At 38.7% G+C, this 18,535-nt stretch overlaps 2 protein-coding genes across 4 annotated transcripts in view; one reads left to right on the forward strand and one right to left on the reverse strand.

Annotated features, from left to right (window-relative positions):
• ISM1 (isthmin 1) overlaps positions 1-8,750 on the forward strand; it is a 105,450-nt gene extending 96,700 nt beyond the window's left edge. Inside the window, exons 6-7 of the mRNA XM_017027680.2 lie at positions 7,093-7,191; positions 8,463-8,750. Of these exons, the coding sequence (XP_016883169.1) occupies positions 7,093-7,191; positions 8,463-8,689 (326 nt within the window). The 3' untranslated portion in view covers positions 8,690-8,750. The remainder of the gene's footprint in view (positions 1-7,092; positions 7,192-8,462) is intronic.
• Positions 1-18,535, reverse strand: part of TASP1 (taspase 1) — a 534,161-nt gene that overhangs the window by 213,202 nt on the left and 302,424 nt on the right. The window lies entirely within an intron of this gene.

Genomic DNA, 18,535 nt, shown 5'->3' on the forward strand with positions numbered 1-18,535 from the left:
TCTGTGAAAGACACTGTCTGCATGAAAAAACAAGCCAAAGACTGGGAGAAAATATTTTCAAAAGACCTAACAGATAAATATCCAAATATACAGAGAACCCTAAAACTCAACAATAAGAACACAAACAACCCGATTCTTTAAATGTTTCTGAGGACACTTGAAAAAATAAATAAATAAATAAATAAATAAAAATGAGCCAAAGACTCTAACAGACACTTCACCAAAGAAGATATACAGATGGCAAATAAGCATATAAAAAGATATTTCACATCATATGTCATCAGGGAAATGCAAATTAACACAACAACAAGATACCATTAGAATGGCCAAAATCCAAAACATTGACAACATCAGATGCTGACAAGGATGTGGAGCAACAGGAATTCTTATTCATTGAGAATAGTGAGAATTCAAAATGGCGTGACCACTTTGGAAGACAGTTTGATGTTTGCTTATGAAATTAAACGTACGCTTACCATAGGATCCAACAATTGTGCTGCTTGGTATTTACCCAAAAAACTTGAAAAATTGTGTCCACACAAAAACAAAAAAACCTGCACACAGGTGTTTATAGCAGCTTTATTCATAATTGACAAAACTTGGAATCAGCCAAGATGTCCTTCAGTAGGTGAAGGGATAAACTATATCTTATTAGCACTGAATAATATTCCATTGTCTGGCTATCCAGTGCTAATAAGTGCTGGCTATCCAGTGCTATTCAGTGCTAATAAGAAATGAGCCGTCAAGCCATGAGAAAATATTTTTTGAAACTCAGTGAAAAAAGTTAAAGAAGCCAATCTAAAGAGGCTACCTACACTATGATTCCAACTACATAGCCTTCTAGAAAAGGCAAAACTATGAAGACAGGAAAAAGATCAATGGTTGCCAGGGGTTGAGAAGAGGAAGGGATAAATAGGCAGAGCACAGAACACTTTCAGGACAGTGAAACTATGCTATGTGTTACTATAATGGTTAATACAGGTCATTATACATTTGTCCAAACTCATATAACTGTACAACAGCACGAGTGAACCCTAATGAACTCTGGGTGATAATGATGTGTCAATGTAGGTTCATCAGTTGTAACAAATGCATGACTCTAGTGGAAGATGTCGATAGTCAGAGAGAGTATGTCTCTATGGGGGCAGGGGATATTTGGGAAATCTCTGTTCCTTCTGTTCAATTTCGTTATGAAACTAAAAATGCTCTGAAACAATAGTCTATTTTTTAAGTGACTATTAGGTAGAAGAAAAAAAAAAACACTAATTGCAGAAAACCAAACAAGGCAAGGCCAACTAGACTATGAGCAACTGCTGGCTCCTGCTGCATGAACTAGACACTTATCTGGTCACATGTGCCTGGCAGCCCGGGTATTTCTACTGCTAATCAGAAACTGGAAGTTATTGAAAACAGAGCTCAGAGACACAGGACCCACTGAGTCACATTGCATCTGAGTTTCACAGAGGTCAAGGGTTGAGGAATGATCCTGACTTAATCCTAACAGGTAACAGTCACTCGGAGAGTGAGAGAAGGGAGCTAGATAGGATATAGATCAGAGAAAAGAGAGAATGAAAGGAAAGAAAGACAGGCAAAATGGCAGCTCGTAGAAGTATATCCCACATTCTATCTCCTTTATTTGTCAAAACAAACAACAAAAAGGATTGGTTTCCAGAGTTCTAAGGTTGCTATAATGCCTAAAGAAACATGGGTTAAGTTTTGGCTACAGGAAAATGTTTGTATCTATTTGAAGATTAACCCCCTCCCCCCTGCACACACACACTCTAGAGGGTGAGAGAGACGTGGGGACAGCCAGCCAACCTTCTTGTCCCTGGGCCTGCAGCAGCATCAGGGCACCTGGTGTGGAGCTGTGGCTGGAGGCTGATTAGAGGAAGGAGGCTCTCTAACCAGCTCAGGTCCTGCAGAGATTGTGAGGGCTCTTCTGGGAAACAGGGACAGGGCAGCACCACCAGCATGACACAGAAGGAAGAAAGCACAGGCAGTTCTGAAAACTCCACCGAAGGGTTGGGGGCTGGAGAGTCTGCACTGCCTGCTTTCAGGAAGTGACCCAACACCCCAAAGTCAGAAACTGGGGTACACCAGGTGAAGTTGTAGAGAAAGCAACACCAGGGTCCCCTCCTGTGAGAAGCAATCTATACCTCTGCTGGTTATAAGTAAGCAATAACCCTGCTGAGGGGCTCATGGGTCCTGGAAGAGCACAGGATGTTGTCTTTTTCCCTGGAACTAAGACTTGTATTCATGGAATAGGTGGTAGAGTGTGAGTTGAGCAAAAATACTTCCTAAATTCCCAAATGAGTTCAGACCTCATTAGCAGAGTTCTGTGTGATACATTAGCTTTGTACTAGAGGAGGGATGTTAACCCTAAAAGCATTGACTTCACACTGTGCTTGCAAACCAAAGGACAGAACTTAGAGACAAATGGTACCAAAGTGCTCAAAGCTGAAAACAAGAGAACCGAACTCTGGTTAATTTAAAAAGAAAAGAAGTATAGGACAGATATTAGGTGGCTTTAGAAAGACCCAAATATATAAAACCACATCAAATATTAAGGGAGGATGCTATGTCAATTAGGATAAGGCTTGACAGCAGGTGAGAGAAAAACAAAGTAACCATGGCTCAAATAAGGTAGAAGCTTATTGCTCTCTCATTAAAAAACAGAAGTTGATAGTCCCAGGTAAGTACAAGTTCTGGGTTTCCTCAGTCTCACTGCTCCATATTTCTCTTGAAGCAGTTTCCATTTCATGGTCTAAGATGACTGTCCAAGCTCTAGCCATCACATTCTTATTTCAGCTAGCAAAAAAAGAGGGAGTGGGAAAGGGCTTCCCAGAAGTTAAAGATACCATTTCTTTTTACATCCCATTGACTAGAACGTAGTCATATGGCCACAGTGAGTTGCATGAGGTGATGGTGGAAATCATCTTTATTGGCAGAGCACAGTGGCTCATACCTGTAATCCCAGTACTTTGGGAGGCCGAGGCTGGTGGATCAGTTGGGGTCAGGATTTCGAGACCAGCCTGTCCAACATGGTGGAACCCTGTCTCTACTGAAAACACAAAAATTAGCCAGGCATGGTGGTACGTGCCTGTAATCCCAGCAACTCAGGAGGCTGAGGCATGAGAATCGTTTGAACCCAGGAGGAGGTGAAGGTTTCCGTGAGCTGAGATCATGCCACTACACTGCAGCCTAGGTGACAGAATGAGACCCTGTCTCCAAAACAATAAAAAGAGATCGTCTTTATCTAGAATAGTCATGTGCCCCACATAAAAAAAAAAAAAAAAAAAAAAAGATTTTATGACAAATAAAGAAGATGCTGAAAAGAAAATTAGCAGTTTTGTCCACAGGGGCCTAAACCACATGAATACTGATGACAATTGTCAAAATTCTTACAGCTAGTGTGGTAGACCAGAAACCCTCTGAAGCCTGCTGCCTTTCTAGGTAAGAGGGGATTGTCGCTTGGATCCAAGGGGAGAAACGCTCTAGGACGTTCCAGAATTCTGGCCCCAGAAGCATCTAAAACCCTCATTAGCACTGCAAGGTAAACATAATCCTTCCTCTGTCTGCCTAGGCCTGGTGCCTTGAAGCCTCAGCCTGAGCACAGGGACGTGGTGTGTTTTCTTCACCACTTGATCCTCGGCTTCTAGCCCAGGGCCTGGCACACACAGTGAGCTCTCAAAGACATGCTTGTGAAGCTGATGAATGACTGCTACATTCAACTCCCTCCCATATAAATACATAACTATTTTTCACATGTATGTACATATTAAAAAGTAGCGTTGAATTCACATCTTTTCTTTTCATGTGTATTTTACTAGGGAATGTCGAAGTGTGTGTAGAGACAGGAGAGGCAGCACTCAGATTCTTGGGCTAGACTGCTCAGGTTTGACTCCCTAATTGGCTGCATGCTAGCTATGTGACCTTGAGCAAGGTACTTAACTTCTCCATGCCTTCGTTTCTTCATTGTAAAATATGATCATAACGATACTGTTGCTCACAGGGTTGCCATGAAGAATTAATGAGTCAACATTTATATTATGGAAATTGTGCATGTGTATCGCTTAAAATAGTGATTGGCACAGAGTGTTCAATAAAACAAAATATTAAAAGTACAAGTACCGTTTTGCAAAGTCATTTTTTAATGTCGTAAAGAGATTCTCCTCCTGAACAGAGCTGAAAAGCTGCAACCTAGCCTAGATGACTTCCAATTTGACAGCTTTTTAGGTCCAAGCATTTCTTAAAAGTGCTGTACTCCCAAGAGTGAGGCAGTTCGTCATCTTCAAAGGCAGTTTGTGCTGCATCTCCTGGGTGTCCAGACCTAGCTTAAAGAGATACGGGTTGTTCTAAGAGAAAAGACACACTCCCACCCTCTTTTCTTGGCTAAGGAACCCAGTGCAGCCACTGACTGTATTTCTCTCTCCAACTCTTCCACCTGCCAACTCGCTTGCTTCATAGCATCTCAGCAGCTGACCATATTGCAAACAGATCAGTTTCCTTTGATGCCCTGGACCAGACGAGGTCCATATGAGGTTCTCAAACAAAGCTTTTGCTTTGTTTCTAAACAACTTAAGAAGATTTCAAAGAGGAAGACGTGCTCTATTTTCTCAGGATCCCTTTTCCTGCTCAAACAGAAAGAAAAGCCCAAGACCCAGGGAGGGACCCAGTGATACAGACAGACAGACTTTGAGAAGGAGACAGGATAAGGAATAGCTGCAAAGCTTAGATTACTTCCTAAAGGATGGGGGTGGAATATGTGATCTTTATCTAATCAGACAGTCTACTCAGGAAGTCCCCGAGATCAAAGCAAGGGGCTTTTTATTTAGCACTGTGTCAACTTGAAAACAGTCCTGGCAAAGCCACAGATCTGGATAAGCTCACACCTCTCCCCACCCCCGCTGCCCTGACCTGTCTCTCAGCATCTGAACTCTCTTAACATTCCATTTAGAATAAAATCCTGGGTTAAAAAGAGTCCCTGGGATTACTGTAGGAAGAGACAACATTTGACAAAGCAAGGCAGAAAACGCCACAGTCCTTCCTGACTTCCAGAACAATTGGGTGCATACTCTGGGGGAAGACACCACCCAGGCATTGTGTCACAGCGTCTCGGAGGAAAAATAGGAACTAAGAGCAATCAGACCACAACATGGAATAGGGAGGGCAAGAGAACAGAGCTACAGTCCCCAAATATTACTTGCTACAAAGAATAAGAGAGTCGGTAGGGTTGGGGTATGTCCTTGTAAAGCAGGAGAAACACATTGAAGAAATGTGTTGAAGAAAAGACAGGGGCTTGAGAAGACTAGGGACTGGTCCAAAGGAAGGGAGGTCACTTACTGGAAACACAATGACTCAGGCGGAGCAAGGCAAGAAAGTTGGAATCACACTGCAAAGGTAGAAAGAGCTCATCTTCCTGGATGAAAGACTATTGAACCGTGGTTCCCATAACCCAGTGTGTTACCAAAGAGAAAGAACTCAGCCCTATTCCTTTCCCAATGTAACTTATATCCTACCAAATCCAGTATCTACCAAAAAACAGATAAATGCTTCAGTATGATACTATTCATATGAAACTACGTTTTCTTGGCCATTTACTTTGTTAGGCAACATATAGTATCTCATTTAATCTTTATAACTACCATACGACTATAATTCTCATTTGATAACCTGCATTTATTCCTTTAGACCTGATTTTTCTTATACATGTCATGGACTACTCCCAGAGTTAATTACTAAAAGAATGTTCTTAAATGAGAGTATTTAGTATTTATCTTGGAAAAAAAGCCTTCTTCTTCAATCCCAGAATTTTGAAATGAAGGCTTCTTTATGGAAGAATAAACTAACCAACAGAAAATCATTGGTTTATTCTTTCATAAATAGATGGGCCAAAATATTTTTGGTCTCCTCTGACCAAAAAAATTGTTAATAGCCTGAATGATAAGAAATGCATTCTTTCTTGTGAGTCTTTCTGAGTTTCTATTTAGTTAGCTGCTTTTAGGGTGTGTGCTTCTCTAAGAAATGTTATCTATCTCCCTTCCTATAAGGACAACAACTTGCAGTGGTGTGAAATTATTATAAGTCGAGAAGTATTTGCAGTAATTGCTTGGTGCCCTATAAAAACATACTGTAACTTTCAGGTACTATCCCTGGGACCTAGCTGTGAAATCAACTTTCATAACCCTCACGAATGCTTGTGTACCTGTTTACAACAAGTGGCTGTTTACAAAGCATGTCCCCATGGGTTGTCTCTGACTTTCACAGCCCCACCTCACAGGTAAGGGAACAGAAGATGACAGCAAGGAATCAATTAGCTTAAAAATTCACAGAGAGTTGTAGGGAACAATTGCCTTGCTAGCTGCAAGATATAACTAAATGTGAGGTGTGTTTTTTAAATATGACTTCTAGCTCCAGAACTTGTGCAGCTTAAAAGTGATAGGCAGTACCCAAAGATGCAGAAAAGAGGATCTTGTCCACATTTTAGGCAGGGGTGTAGAATTTAAATTTACATCCTTACTTCTCACTGAAAACTAACAGGTCTTAATTGTGATTAGATGAGAGACTTTTGGAAGAAACTAAGTTTCAGTTGGCTTTAATTATGCCTTAATCATGCTCATCTATTTCAAATATTAAGGAAGCTTGCACTGGAATGGGTAGAAAGGGCTAGAAAATGAAAAACAAAATGATGCCTACAAAGTGTCTTCACACCGCTTTCAATTTTCCAGGCATAATCTCTTCTTGAGGTTGGTGTCAAGCCAGGTGTCAGGAACAGCACCTAGCACCACTACAGAAAGCACCTACTAAACAAATTATTAGATATTACATACATTTGAAGCTGGAAGCACGCTTAGAAATAACCTAGTTTAAGTTTCTTATTTTCTGGATGAGAAAATTAAACCCCAGGAAGGCAAAGAGACTTGCTCATGCAGCTGAAGAAAAATACAAGGATCCCTAGCTTTGATGACCACATTTTAACACCATCTGAATAGAAAATATTTGTTTCTTTTCGGCTTCTTATCCTGTTAGTGCAGCTATTTCTCTATTGCTGCCTCAAAGAAACAAATCAGAATGTTTCTGTTTATTTTATAGGTAGTGTTCCAACCAGGGAGCTCCTGGATGCAAGGAACAGAGAGCCACTCGACCTAAGTGACCACCAGAGGGTGCCCACAGGACAGCCCGACAAATGGGGTGAGGTGGGGGGATGGCCCTGGAGTGTCTCCCTTCTCACGAGAAACGCATGTGGTATCACAACTGAGACTTATCTTTTGTTCCCATCAAGAAGTTAGAGGTCTCAGGTCTCTTCTGAAATGCGAGGTTGCACATCTGTATTGGGGAAGAAAATCTGCAACACGTGCCAACCTCGTGCTTAAGATGTATTTGTTTCGAACTCCTGCATGCTTGCTCTTCTGGTATCTGTCTCCATAAATAAAATGGGAAGAAATATGTCACTTTGATTTCCACACAGGCAGAAGAGAGTTGTGATTAGATGTCATGAGAGGGTCCACAGTTTCTGCTACAGGAAAGGTGATAGGGGGATTATAATATTCACCTTTCCCCAACTTGTTTCCTGGAACAGTTACCTAGTTGTCCCCAGAGAATCGATAATGGGTTTAGACAAAAACCCTGTGTTCCCTTCGGAAGACGAAATTCCTTTCAGAAGAAAGCCAGATCCAGAATAATCAATTAATTCCACCTGTATCAAAACTGTGACATGTGGGTAATATCCATTCATTCCTTCCCTTTGATAAACTAGGTTCATCCATTTGAACCTGATTTTTCTTACATGCCAGTAATTACTCCGAGAACTGACTCTTAACAGAAAATTTTTCAAGTATAATATTTGACATACACTTTAAAAGAAAACATTGTTCTTTAATCCCAGCATTTCAAAATGGAGGTTTCCTTATGAATATAGAACACCAATACACACGTCGACCATCAAAAAAGTGGTACCTACAAAGAGGTAGTCCTATCTTACCACCTCTTTATAGTCACATCTTCCACCCAACCCTCCCAACTCCGGGTAACCACTGATCTGTTTTCCATCACTACAGTTTTTGAAATGTCATGTAACCAGAAACATGCAGTGTGTTACCTTTTTGTGAGTGGTTTCTTTCGCTCAGCATAAGGCCTTTGAGATTCATCCAAGTTATCATATGTGTCAGCAGTTTATTCTTTTTTATTGCTGAGTAGCATTCCATGTATGGATGCACCAGAGCTTGTTTATCCACTCGCCTACTAAAGGATATTTAAGTTGTTTGTAAGTTTTGGGAAATTATGAAAATAATTGCTATAAACATTTATGTACAGATTTTTATGTGCACCTAAGATTTCATTTCTCTAGGGTAAATACTTAGGAGTGGGACCGTTGGGTCATGTAGTATGTATATGTATATATTCGATTTAAGTATATGTATATATTCAATTTAGTAAGTATATGTATATATTCGATTTTTCAGAGTGGCTGTACCATTTCCATCTCCAGCATCAATATGTGAGTGTTCCATACATACACATACTCAGTTGCTACACATCCTCACCAACACTTGGTATGAATTTTTTTTATTTTAGCCATTCTAATAGGTATATAGTGGTATCTCAACATGTTGTTAGTTTGATTTCCTTAGCGTTTCATGATGTTGAGCATTTTTCATGTGTTTCTTTGCCTTTCATAAATCCTTTTTGATGGTATGCCCAGTCAGGTCTTTTGTTCATTTTTTAAATTGGGTTGTTTACACATGATTATCTCAATAGATGAAGAAGAGGCCTTCAATAAAATTCAACACCCCTTCATGTTAAAAACTCTCAATAAACTAGGTATTGCTGAAACATACCTCAAAATAATAAGAGCCATATATGGCAAACCCACAGCCAATATCATACTGAATGGGCAAAAGCTGGAAGCATTTCCCTTGAAAATTGGCACAAGACAAGGATGCCCTCTCTCACCGCTCCTATTTAACACAGTATTGGAAGTTCTGGCCAGGACAATCAGGAAGAGAAAGAAATAAAGCATATGCGAATAGGAAGAGGGGAAGTCAAATTATCTTTGTTTGCAGATGACATGATCCTATATCTAGAAAACCCCATTATCTCAGCCCAAAAGCTTCTTAAGCTGATAAGCAACTTCAGCAAAGTCTCAGGATAGAAAATCAACGTGCAAAAATCACCAGCATTCCTATAACAAACAACAGGCAACCAGAGAGCCAAATCATGAATGAACTCCCATTGACAATTGCTACAAAAAGAATAAAATACCCAGGAATAGAGCTAATAAGGGAAGTGAAGAACCTCTTCAAGGAGAACTACAAACCACTGCTCAAGAAAATCAGAGAAGACACAATGGAGCAACATTTCATGCACAAGGATAGGAAGAATCAATATCATGAAAATGGCCATACTGCCCAAAGTAATTTGTAGATTCAGTGCTATCCCATTAAACTACCATCGACATTCTTCACAAATTAGAAAAAAAAACTATTCTAAAATTCATATGGGACCAAAAAGAGCCTGAATAGCCAAGACAATCCTAAGCAAAAAGAACAAAGCTGGAGGCATCACACTATTTGACTTCAAACTATACTACAAGGTCACAGTAACCAAAACAGCATGGTACTGGTACAAGAACAGACACATAGACCAGTGGAACAGAACAGAGAACTCAGAAATAAGACCGCACACCTACAACTATCTGACCTTTGACAAACTTGACAAAAACAAGCAATGGGGAAATGACTCCCTATTTATAAATGGTGCTGGGAGTGCTGGCTAGCCATATGCAGAAAATCGAAACTGGACCCCTTCACTACGCCATATACAAAAATTAACTCAAAATGGATTAAAGACTTAAATGTAAAACCCAAAACTATAAAAATCCTAGAAGAAAATCTAGGCAATCCCATTCAGGACATAGGCATGGGCATAGATTTCATGATGAAAATGTCAAAAGCAATCTCAACAAAAGCAAAAATTGACAAACAGGATCTAATTAAACTAAAGAGCGACTGCACAGCAAAAGAAACTATCATTAGAGTGAACAGACAACCTACAGAATGGGAGAAAATTTTTGCAATCTATCCACCTGACAAAGGTCTAATATTCAGAGTCTACGAGGAACTTAAACAAATTTACAAGAAAAAAAACCAAACAACCCCATTAAAAAGTGAGCAAAGGACATGAACAGACACTTCTCAACAGAAGACATACATGTGGCCAACAAACATGAAGAAAAGCTCAACATCCCTGATCATTAGAGAACTGCAAATTAAAACCACAATGAGATACCATCTCACGCCCGTCAGAATGGTGATTATTAAAAAGTCAAGAAACAATGGATGCTGGTGAGGTTGCAGAGAAAAAGGAACCCTGTTACATTGTTGGTGGGAGTGTAAATTAGTTCAACCATTGTGGAAGACAGTGTGGTGATTCCTCAAATATGTAGAGGCAGAAATATCATTTGACCAGCAATCCCATTACTGGGTATATACCCCCCAAAATATAAATCATTTTATTATGAAGACACATGCACACATATGTTCACTGCAGCACTATTCACAATAGCAAAGACATGGAATCAACCTAAATGCCCATCAATGATAGACTGGATAAAGAAAATGTGGTACATATACAACATGGAATACTATGCTGCTATAAAAAGGAATGAGATCGTGCCTTTGCAGGGACATGCATGGAGTGGGAAGCCATTATCCTCAGCAAACTAACACAGGAACAGATAACCAAACACCATGTGTTCTCACTTATAAGTGGGAGCTGAATGATGAGAACACATGGTCACATTGTGGGGAACAACACACACTGGGACCTGTAGGAGGGTGGGGGGAGGGAGAGCATCAGGAAGAATATCTAATGAATGCTGGGCTTAATACCTGGGTGATGGGATAATCCGTGCAGCAAACCATGGCAAACATTTACCTATGTAACAAATCTGCACATCCTGCACATGCACCACTGAACTTAAAATAAAAATTGAATTTAAAAAGTTTAAAAAATTAAATAAAACCTAATTTTAAAAAGTAAAATAAAATAAAATTGGGTTGTTTTCTTACTGTTGATTTCTTTCTTCAGCATTTGTAGCCTTTGGCATAAGGATCCTGCATGTTATATTGGATTTGTAACTTAAACATTTCATTTTTTGAAGCTATTGTTAATAATTGAGATAGAATGAATTGTGTCCCTGCCACCTCCCTGCCAAAAAAATTTATATGTTGAGATCCTAACTCCCAGTACTTCAGAATGTGACTATATTTGGAGATAGGGTTTTTAAGGAGGTAAGTCAGGTAAAATGAGGTAATTAGAATGGTGTAATGCAATATGACTGGTGTAAGAAGAAATTAGGACACAAACAGGCACAGAGAAGACCAGGTGAAGACAAAGGGAGAAGACAGCCATCTACGAATCAAAGAAAAAGCCCTCAGAAGAAGTCAACACCACTAAAACCTTGATCTCACCTTTCTAGCTTCCTGAACTGTGAGAAAATAGATTTCTATTGGTCAAGCCACTCAGTCTGTGGCACTTTGTTACAGCCCCAGCAAATAAATATAGTAATATGCTTTTGTTTTTTTTCATTTCAGTTTCAATTGTTCATTGCTTACAAATACAAACAACTTGTTTTTGTGTTTACTTTGTATCCTTGCCACCCTGTTATATTCACTATTAGTCCTAGGAGTTTATTCTTAAAGATTCTTGGGGATTTTCTACATAAACAATCATGTCATCTGCAAATAGAGACAGTTTTTTTTTTCTTCCAATTGACATGTCTTTTATTTCTTATTTTTGCAATTACAACAGTTAGGACTTCCAGTATAATGGAGAATAAGAGGGATAAGAGTGGACATCCATTTTTCACCATTAAGTATAATTTTAGCTGCGGAGATTTTCGTAAATATCATTCTCAACTTGAGAATGTTCATCTTGTTCGTTGAGAGCTTCTATCATGAATGGATGTTATGTTTGTCAAATTCCTTTTTTTTTTTTAATCAAGTCATAGTCTTGCTCTGTCACCCAGACCAGAGTGCAGTGACACAATCTCAACTCACTGCAACCTCTGCCTCCTAAATTCAAGCAATTCTCCTGCCTCAGCCTCCCGAGTAGCTGGGATTACAGGTGCCTGCCACCACACATGGCTAATTTTTGTATTTTTAATGGAGATGGAGTTTCATCATGTTGGCCAGGCTGTCTGAACTCCTGACCTCAAGTGATCTACCCGCCTCAGCCTCTTAAAGTGCTGGGATTACAGGCATGAGCCACCACGCCTGGCTGTGTTTGTCAAATTATTTTTCTGTATCTATTGATATAGTCATGTGGTTTTCTTCTCTCAATTGTTAACATGTGGAATTACATTGATTGATTTTTGAATACTGAATTAGTCTTACATTTCCTAGCTAAGCCTCAGTTGATTTTCTACATTGCTATATTTAATTTTCTAATATTATGATGTGGACTTTTGCATCTATATTTATGAGAGATATTAGTCTGTAGTTTTAATTTCTTGTAGTGGCGTTAATTTTGGTATCAGGAAAATACTGGCCCCATAAAAAATTGGAAAGCTTTGGCTCTTCCTTTATCTCCTAGAGGAGATCATGTAGAACTGTTATTATGTCTTCTTTAAATGTTTAGTAGAATATGTCAGTGAAACTACCTGAGCTTGAGATTTCCTTTTGTGGAAGATTTTAAACTATGGATTCAATGTATTTAATATTTATAGAACTATTCAGGTATCTATTTTATCTTGGGTGAGTTTAGATAGTTTGTGGCTTTTGAGAAATTGCTTTATTTCATCTGGATTGTAGAATTTATATGCACTGAGGTGTTCATAGTATTTCTTTTTTATCTGTCTAATGTTTGCAGAGTCTGTATCTTTTATTCCTGACATTAGTAATGTTTGTCTTCTCTCCCTTTTTTCTTTATCAGTCTTGCTAGAGTTCATAAATTTTACTGATCTTCTCAAAGAACCAGCTTTTGGTTTAATGGATTTGTTGTATTGTTTTTGTTTGTTTGTTTTCAACTTTACCAAGTTTTTACTATATCTGCATGATTTTCTTCTGTCTGCTTTCAGTTTGTTTTGCTCTTTTTTTCTTGTTTTAAGGTTGGAGCTTAGATTGAGTTGAGCCCTTTCTTATTTTCTAGTATAAGCATTTAATGCTCTAAATTTCCTTCTAAACACTGCTTTATCTGCATCCCACAATTTTGATATGTTGTATTTTTATTTATGTTTGTTCCCTCTGTTTTCTCAATCCTCTGATTCCACTTTCCTGCCTTTTAGGGAGGTTATTAAACATATTTTAGTGTTCTAAGACATTTTACGTAAGTCTCAGACAGACATTCCCAACAAACTATAGACGGTGTCCTCCAGATTCAAGACATAGCTCAAATTAATGAGAAAATTCAGGAGTTTCCTGCTTTAAGAAAAGTTATTACATCAAAAATTTTAAGTGCATTTCCAATAGAATAGAGGTGATTCTTTACATCATCAAAATATTTATTAAACAATTCTATACTGAAGCACCACCCAGTTCCCCATTTCTGATAAAGAAAAGTCTCAGCTTTGCCTTGGAGAAGGAGAATCACCTCTGTTCCATACATAATTCCTGTGATTTGTGCTATATAAACTTGTACTTCATTTTTGCTGAAGCTAGTTAGAGGTGTTACTGTGTGTGTTTTGGGGGTTTTTTTGTGGCTTTTTTTTTTTTTTTCTGTCACTTGCACTGAAAGAGTCCTGGTGACTAATACAAATTCCTCTAACAGGAAATTCCACAGTGCTTTTTTAAGTATTTTTTTAACTTTACTCCCTTCTTTATTTTCCGTGACACTGGTCAGCAAATTTCACAAAGACAAGGACTGTGACCATCTTGCTCACCATGCAATATTCTGTGACCAATACCTATTTTTGAATAAATGACAGGTCTCTGGTTTTCAGTTGGGATTTGTTTGGGTCAGGATGCAAATGGATTAATTGACCCATTTAATATAATGATGCTGGAGCACGTTTTAATGTTCGGTCTCATTGAAGAAATGACCGTAAGTGGTCTGATCCTCAAGTAATTTCCAGTATGACTTCTTTCCTTGGGCCATGGCATGCATTTACTGTGTCCCTGTAGACCACAAAAAGATTTTCCTCCCATGGACAATTTCTGACAATGTTCTTTGTGGTTTTGGAAATAGAGATTACTTACTTCAAAATTGTGTTAACATGAATTTTGTCTATTAAGATCCATACATGTGTGTTGGGCCAACTATGTATGTTGTGGGGCCCAGTGCAAAATGAAAATGTGGGGCCCCTGTCAAAAAGCAGGGGGTAAATGCCATGAAAGGTACTGAAATATAAAGCTGTTTTCTCTCTTCCACAGTCTCCCTCTTGACTTGTCATCATGTTGTTTATTTGCTATTTAATGTTGCTCTAAGTAAACTTAAATTATAATTTTAAGTTCTTAGCATGAATTTTATCATTCATCTTTATATTGTGCAATGCCAGTTTTAAATGCAAATAAAGAGCTTTTAATGTGTGTGAAGAATCACCAAAATTAAAAAATTTGGATCTATAGCTCATACATGTGTATGTATTTAATTCTTACCAGACCAATGAAAATGCTGCACAAAACTAACTTGACTGTTTTTGTTTTACTTATTCATATACTCAACTTCTACCAACATTCCCTAACTGGGGATTAGTGATGAATAAGGAAGGACTGAAAAGAAAAGAAAATATAGATTATCCTACCTTTTCCACTCTATGTCATTTTCAGCATATGTGGTTGGCTAACATAGGCTATGATAAGGTTTTTTGTTCATTCATGATTCATTCAATGCCATTTTCTTCTTTCTGCATTCAAAGCAAATTCTGGTGTGAACGGAAAGTTTGGCCTTTGGGGCTGTCAGGGCTGTTGCTTGATTTGTATGTTGTGGGTATAACATGCTTCGAGTCTTCCTGAACTCCTGTGCATCGCCAGAATTCCGTGCTCATGGGCCATCATAACACTATACGCAAATGTGCAGCAAAGGAGAGCAGACACACAAATTCACATTTTGTACAGAACTCTTCTGCTTATGTGCATGCTCCGTGGCTCCATCAGACTTCACTTACACAATACAACTTAAAATTATTAACAGCAGAACATCCCACCAAGTGTGGGGCCCTTCTGAGCATGGTCCCTGTGCCACTGCCCATGGATCACATGCCCATGCAGCCAGCCTGGCATGTACGTGGAGAAAGTAACAATAAAGTGATTCTGCACTTTTCATTTGTTTTGTTATTCTACCCACACTTGACTCCCTGGGAAATCTGTGGAATCAAGTGTGACATTTTGAGATCATTAACTACTTGACAGGGGAGGAGAGAGAAATTTAAAGCAAATGTGTCAGAAGTCATACCTGATTAAAGATCAATCCAGAACAAAGATAAAGGCACCTTAGAAATTGCAACATCAGTCAAGAGCAAGATGAGATTTGAGCCCAAATATTTTAGGGAAAGGTCAGTTATGTCAAGGAACACAGAGCTGCTCTCTCCAAAGCATATTTAAATAAAAATATTCACGTTTTTTCCACCTGCCACAAACTCTTTACACTGCCTTCTTTTAAAATGATATAGTTGATGTTTCATACCTAAGCTACGATGTTCAAACTTAAACAGCTTGGTGCCACAATGGGGTTGTTGTTCATGTGAAAAATAATGCCTCGTTGTTCTATCAACAAAAAAGTACATATTATAATGAGTTAAATGTAACATGCCCTTTACACAACATAAAAAGTATTTCTTGCTTCGTTTTTATTACTTTTTTATTTTTGAATCTTTTAAAATGCATCACACACTTACTTTCCTCCTCAACAGTATCCAATTTAGCCTTTCGTTGAAGACTAAAGATTGTCAGGTTAAACATCAATTATGATACTTCCAACTGGATTCAACACGTATTTACTCAGGGAGCACTCACAGGGAGGCATTATGCCAAGAGAAATGGCAATGCTATTCAGTGTTTATGATCCCAACTGGAGAGGAAAGGCAGATGCATAATTTCAAAATTCCTGGCAGAACACAGCAAGTTCCATTATATAAACCTAAACAAGTACCATGGGAACACGTAAGGATGGGGGAGGGAGAGTACATCATGGGAATTTGAGTGGGTCTTGAAGGATAACCTGTGATGGTAAGAAAGGGTGTGCCAAGCTATGGAAGTCACAGGTTTGAGGCAGAAATCCATGGGTGTGAAATAGAGCAGGGTGTTTCACTAGAACCACAGGTCATATATTTGGCAATATATAGAACAGTGAGAGAGAGTGGAACTAATATCTACAAACCACAGGGAGCTGTAGAAGGCTTGGTAAGGGAAGATGGCACCTGAATTACACTTTAATGCAATAATGCATTTTGAAATGTGTAGGACTGTTTGAAACTGTCGTAGTATAGAAACTGTTGTACTATTTAATGTGTTCTTTTAACTGGTTATTCTGTCACCTTTCTCTTTTGGTCTGCCAACTATCTCTTCTTAACGCTATCAAGGTATATGACTCTAGTAGCATCTACATCTAACTTTCTACTAAAATTCTGCTTCTAGTCTACTAAAAGCTTGGATACTAAATAACCAAGATTATTAGTATTATATTTAAATAAGTACACATAGGCTATGAGAAATAGACTGAAATTTACTATTTTTCTAGACTGCTTACTATTTCACTTAGTGAAAAACAAGGATTTGCCTAAGACTAAAGCACATGGGTCTAGTATCCAAAAAAGATTAAAATTTCTAAAGGAAACTTCTGGTTAAAAGTAGAATTGACTGTGACTATTTCTTCTTCCTACCCAAATCTCATTAAAATGACAGTCAAATAATTTTAAGAAACAAATTCATAGACAAGGTCAAAAAGAATGAGAGACCATTTGTCATAAATGTTTTCAACACATTTTTGGAAGGTGAGAAATGGATGGAAGAATGGTAATTACCTTGGCAGAATAAAGCAAAGGGAAAACCAAATGCTTTCAGACAAGCAAGAACAGAGCAGCTTCACTCTGCAGGAGCTCTAAATTGCTCAGTGCTTATAAGCAGTGAGTATTTCAAGAGGAAGATGAGAGCAAGGCCCACTGTGGAAAAAGACATTTGTTGAAAGTCTACCACAGCACAGCTGAGCCCATTAAGTCTCCTCTCTCATTGTGTGCATCCACACAACTCTTTACCAGCTTCCTGGAAGAAAGTTGAAGGTTTATTCTTTGGAGTAAATGTATTTGGGGAGCATGACCAGAGAAGAGCATAGATAAAGCAAAGGTGAAGTAAAAGTCTACTATGGACACCCCCCATTCCCTTCCCTATGCTCCTTCCAGAACTCTCCCCTCACCTATGCACACACACACACACACACACACACACACACACACACAAACACACACCCTGGCAGGAGATTTAGATTTCTCTCCAAATAGTACAAAGAAAAGGCCTATAGATAATGACATTTACTTCCTGATAACCCTATGATGAAGTTTGGAGAAAAGCCCCATCCGTGATTTTAGAGTACCCAATCATAGTGTCTTACTCTTGAATATAAACATACCACCAGCGATCTGCAGAGTCTCCAGCATGAATGAATGAAATCAAAAAGAAAAAAAGAGTAAATGTAGGAATTAATAAAAAATGTTAAAAATAGTATTCATGTTCTCAGATAAGAAAAGATATTGTATCATGCTGTTGTGAGTAATGAACACAGAGGAAAAAAAAAGAGCTCTTGAAAATAAAAAAATATAATTACTGAAATACTTTTAAATGTAATAGAAAGTTGACAAGGTTGAAAAAATGTCCAGAGAGAAGAGGCAAACAGCAAAAGCAAAAAGAAACTAAGGAAAACAAATTAGAGGATCAATCCAACCACCTCCAAGAGAAGTTGGAGGCAGACAGAACAGGGAGACAAACAGAGAGAGGAGAGAAAATTGTCAAAGAACTCATGCAAGAAAATTTTCCCGGAACTAAAAGAATAAATTTCCAAACTGAAAGAGTTCTCTGAGAGTCTAAGACAATAAAAGATGAAAAATTTACACCAAGGTGCATCACTGAGAAATCTCAGAACACAGTTAAAAAGAAGATCTTAAACGCTTCCAGGAAGGAAAAAAACACATTACATAGAAAAGAATACAAATCCAAAAGGCTTCTCAATAACAGTAAGTTTCCAGGGGGCCCAAAGGAGAATGAGTTTCAACCAGGGCTGCTTCCTGGGTGTGCTACCACTGACATCACATAGGGCCCCGCATTCAGAAGGGGGCCTCACACTTGGCTTTAATGGTGTGGCTGCCATTTTGAAATTCTTAATACTTTTATCTTTGAATTTGTTTTGTAAGTAAAGACCAATAGCACAGTAGTGCATGCCCTGAGCAGTCTTGGCTCATGCCCCGTCCTGCCCCCTGCCTCCTCTTATCTCCCAGGGATGGGTTCTTGGCTACCTCCTCCCCTAACGCCACCCAGAGATCACTGCTGCCCTGTGCCCGCAGTGGAAGAATTGAGGTTGGGCCAGCACATCCTACACACTTAGCTGCAAG

Source organism: Homo sapiens, chromosome 20 (assembly GCF_000001405.40).
Source record: "Homo sapiens chromosome 20, GRCh38.p14 Primary Assembly".
NCBI classification, from domain to species: domain Eukaryota; kingdom Metazoa; phylum Chordata; class Mammalia; order Primates; family Hominidae; genus Homo; species Homo sapiens.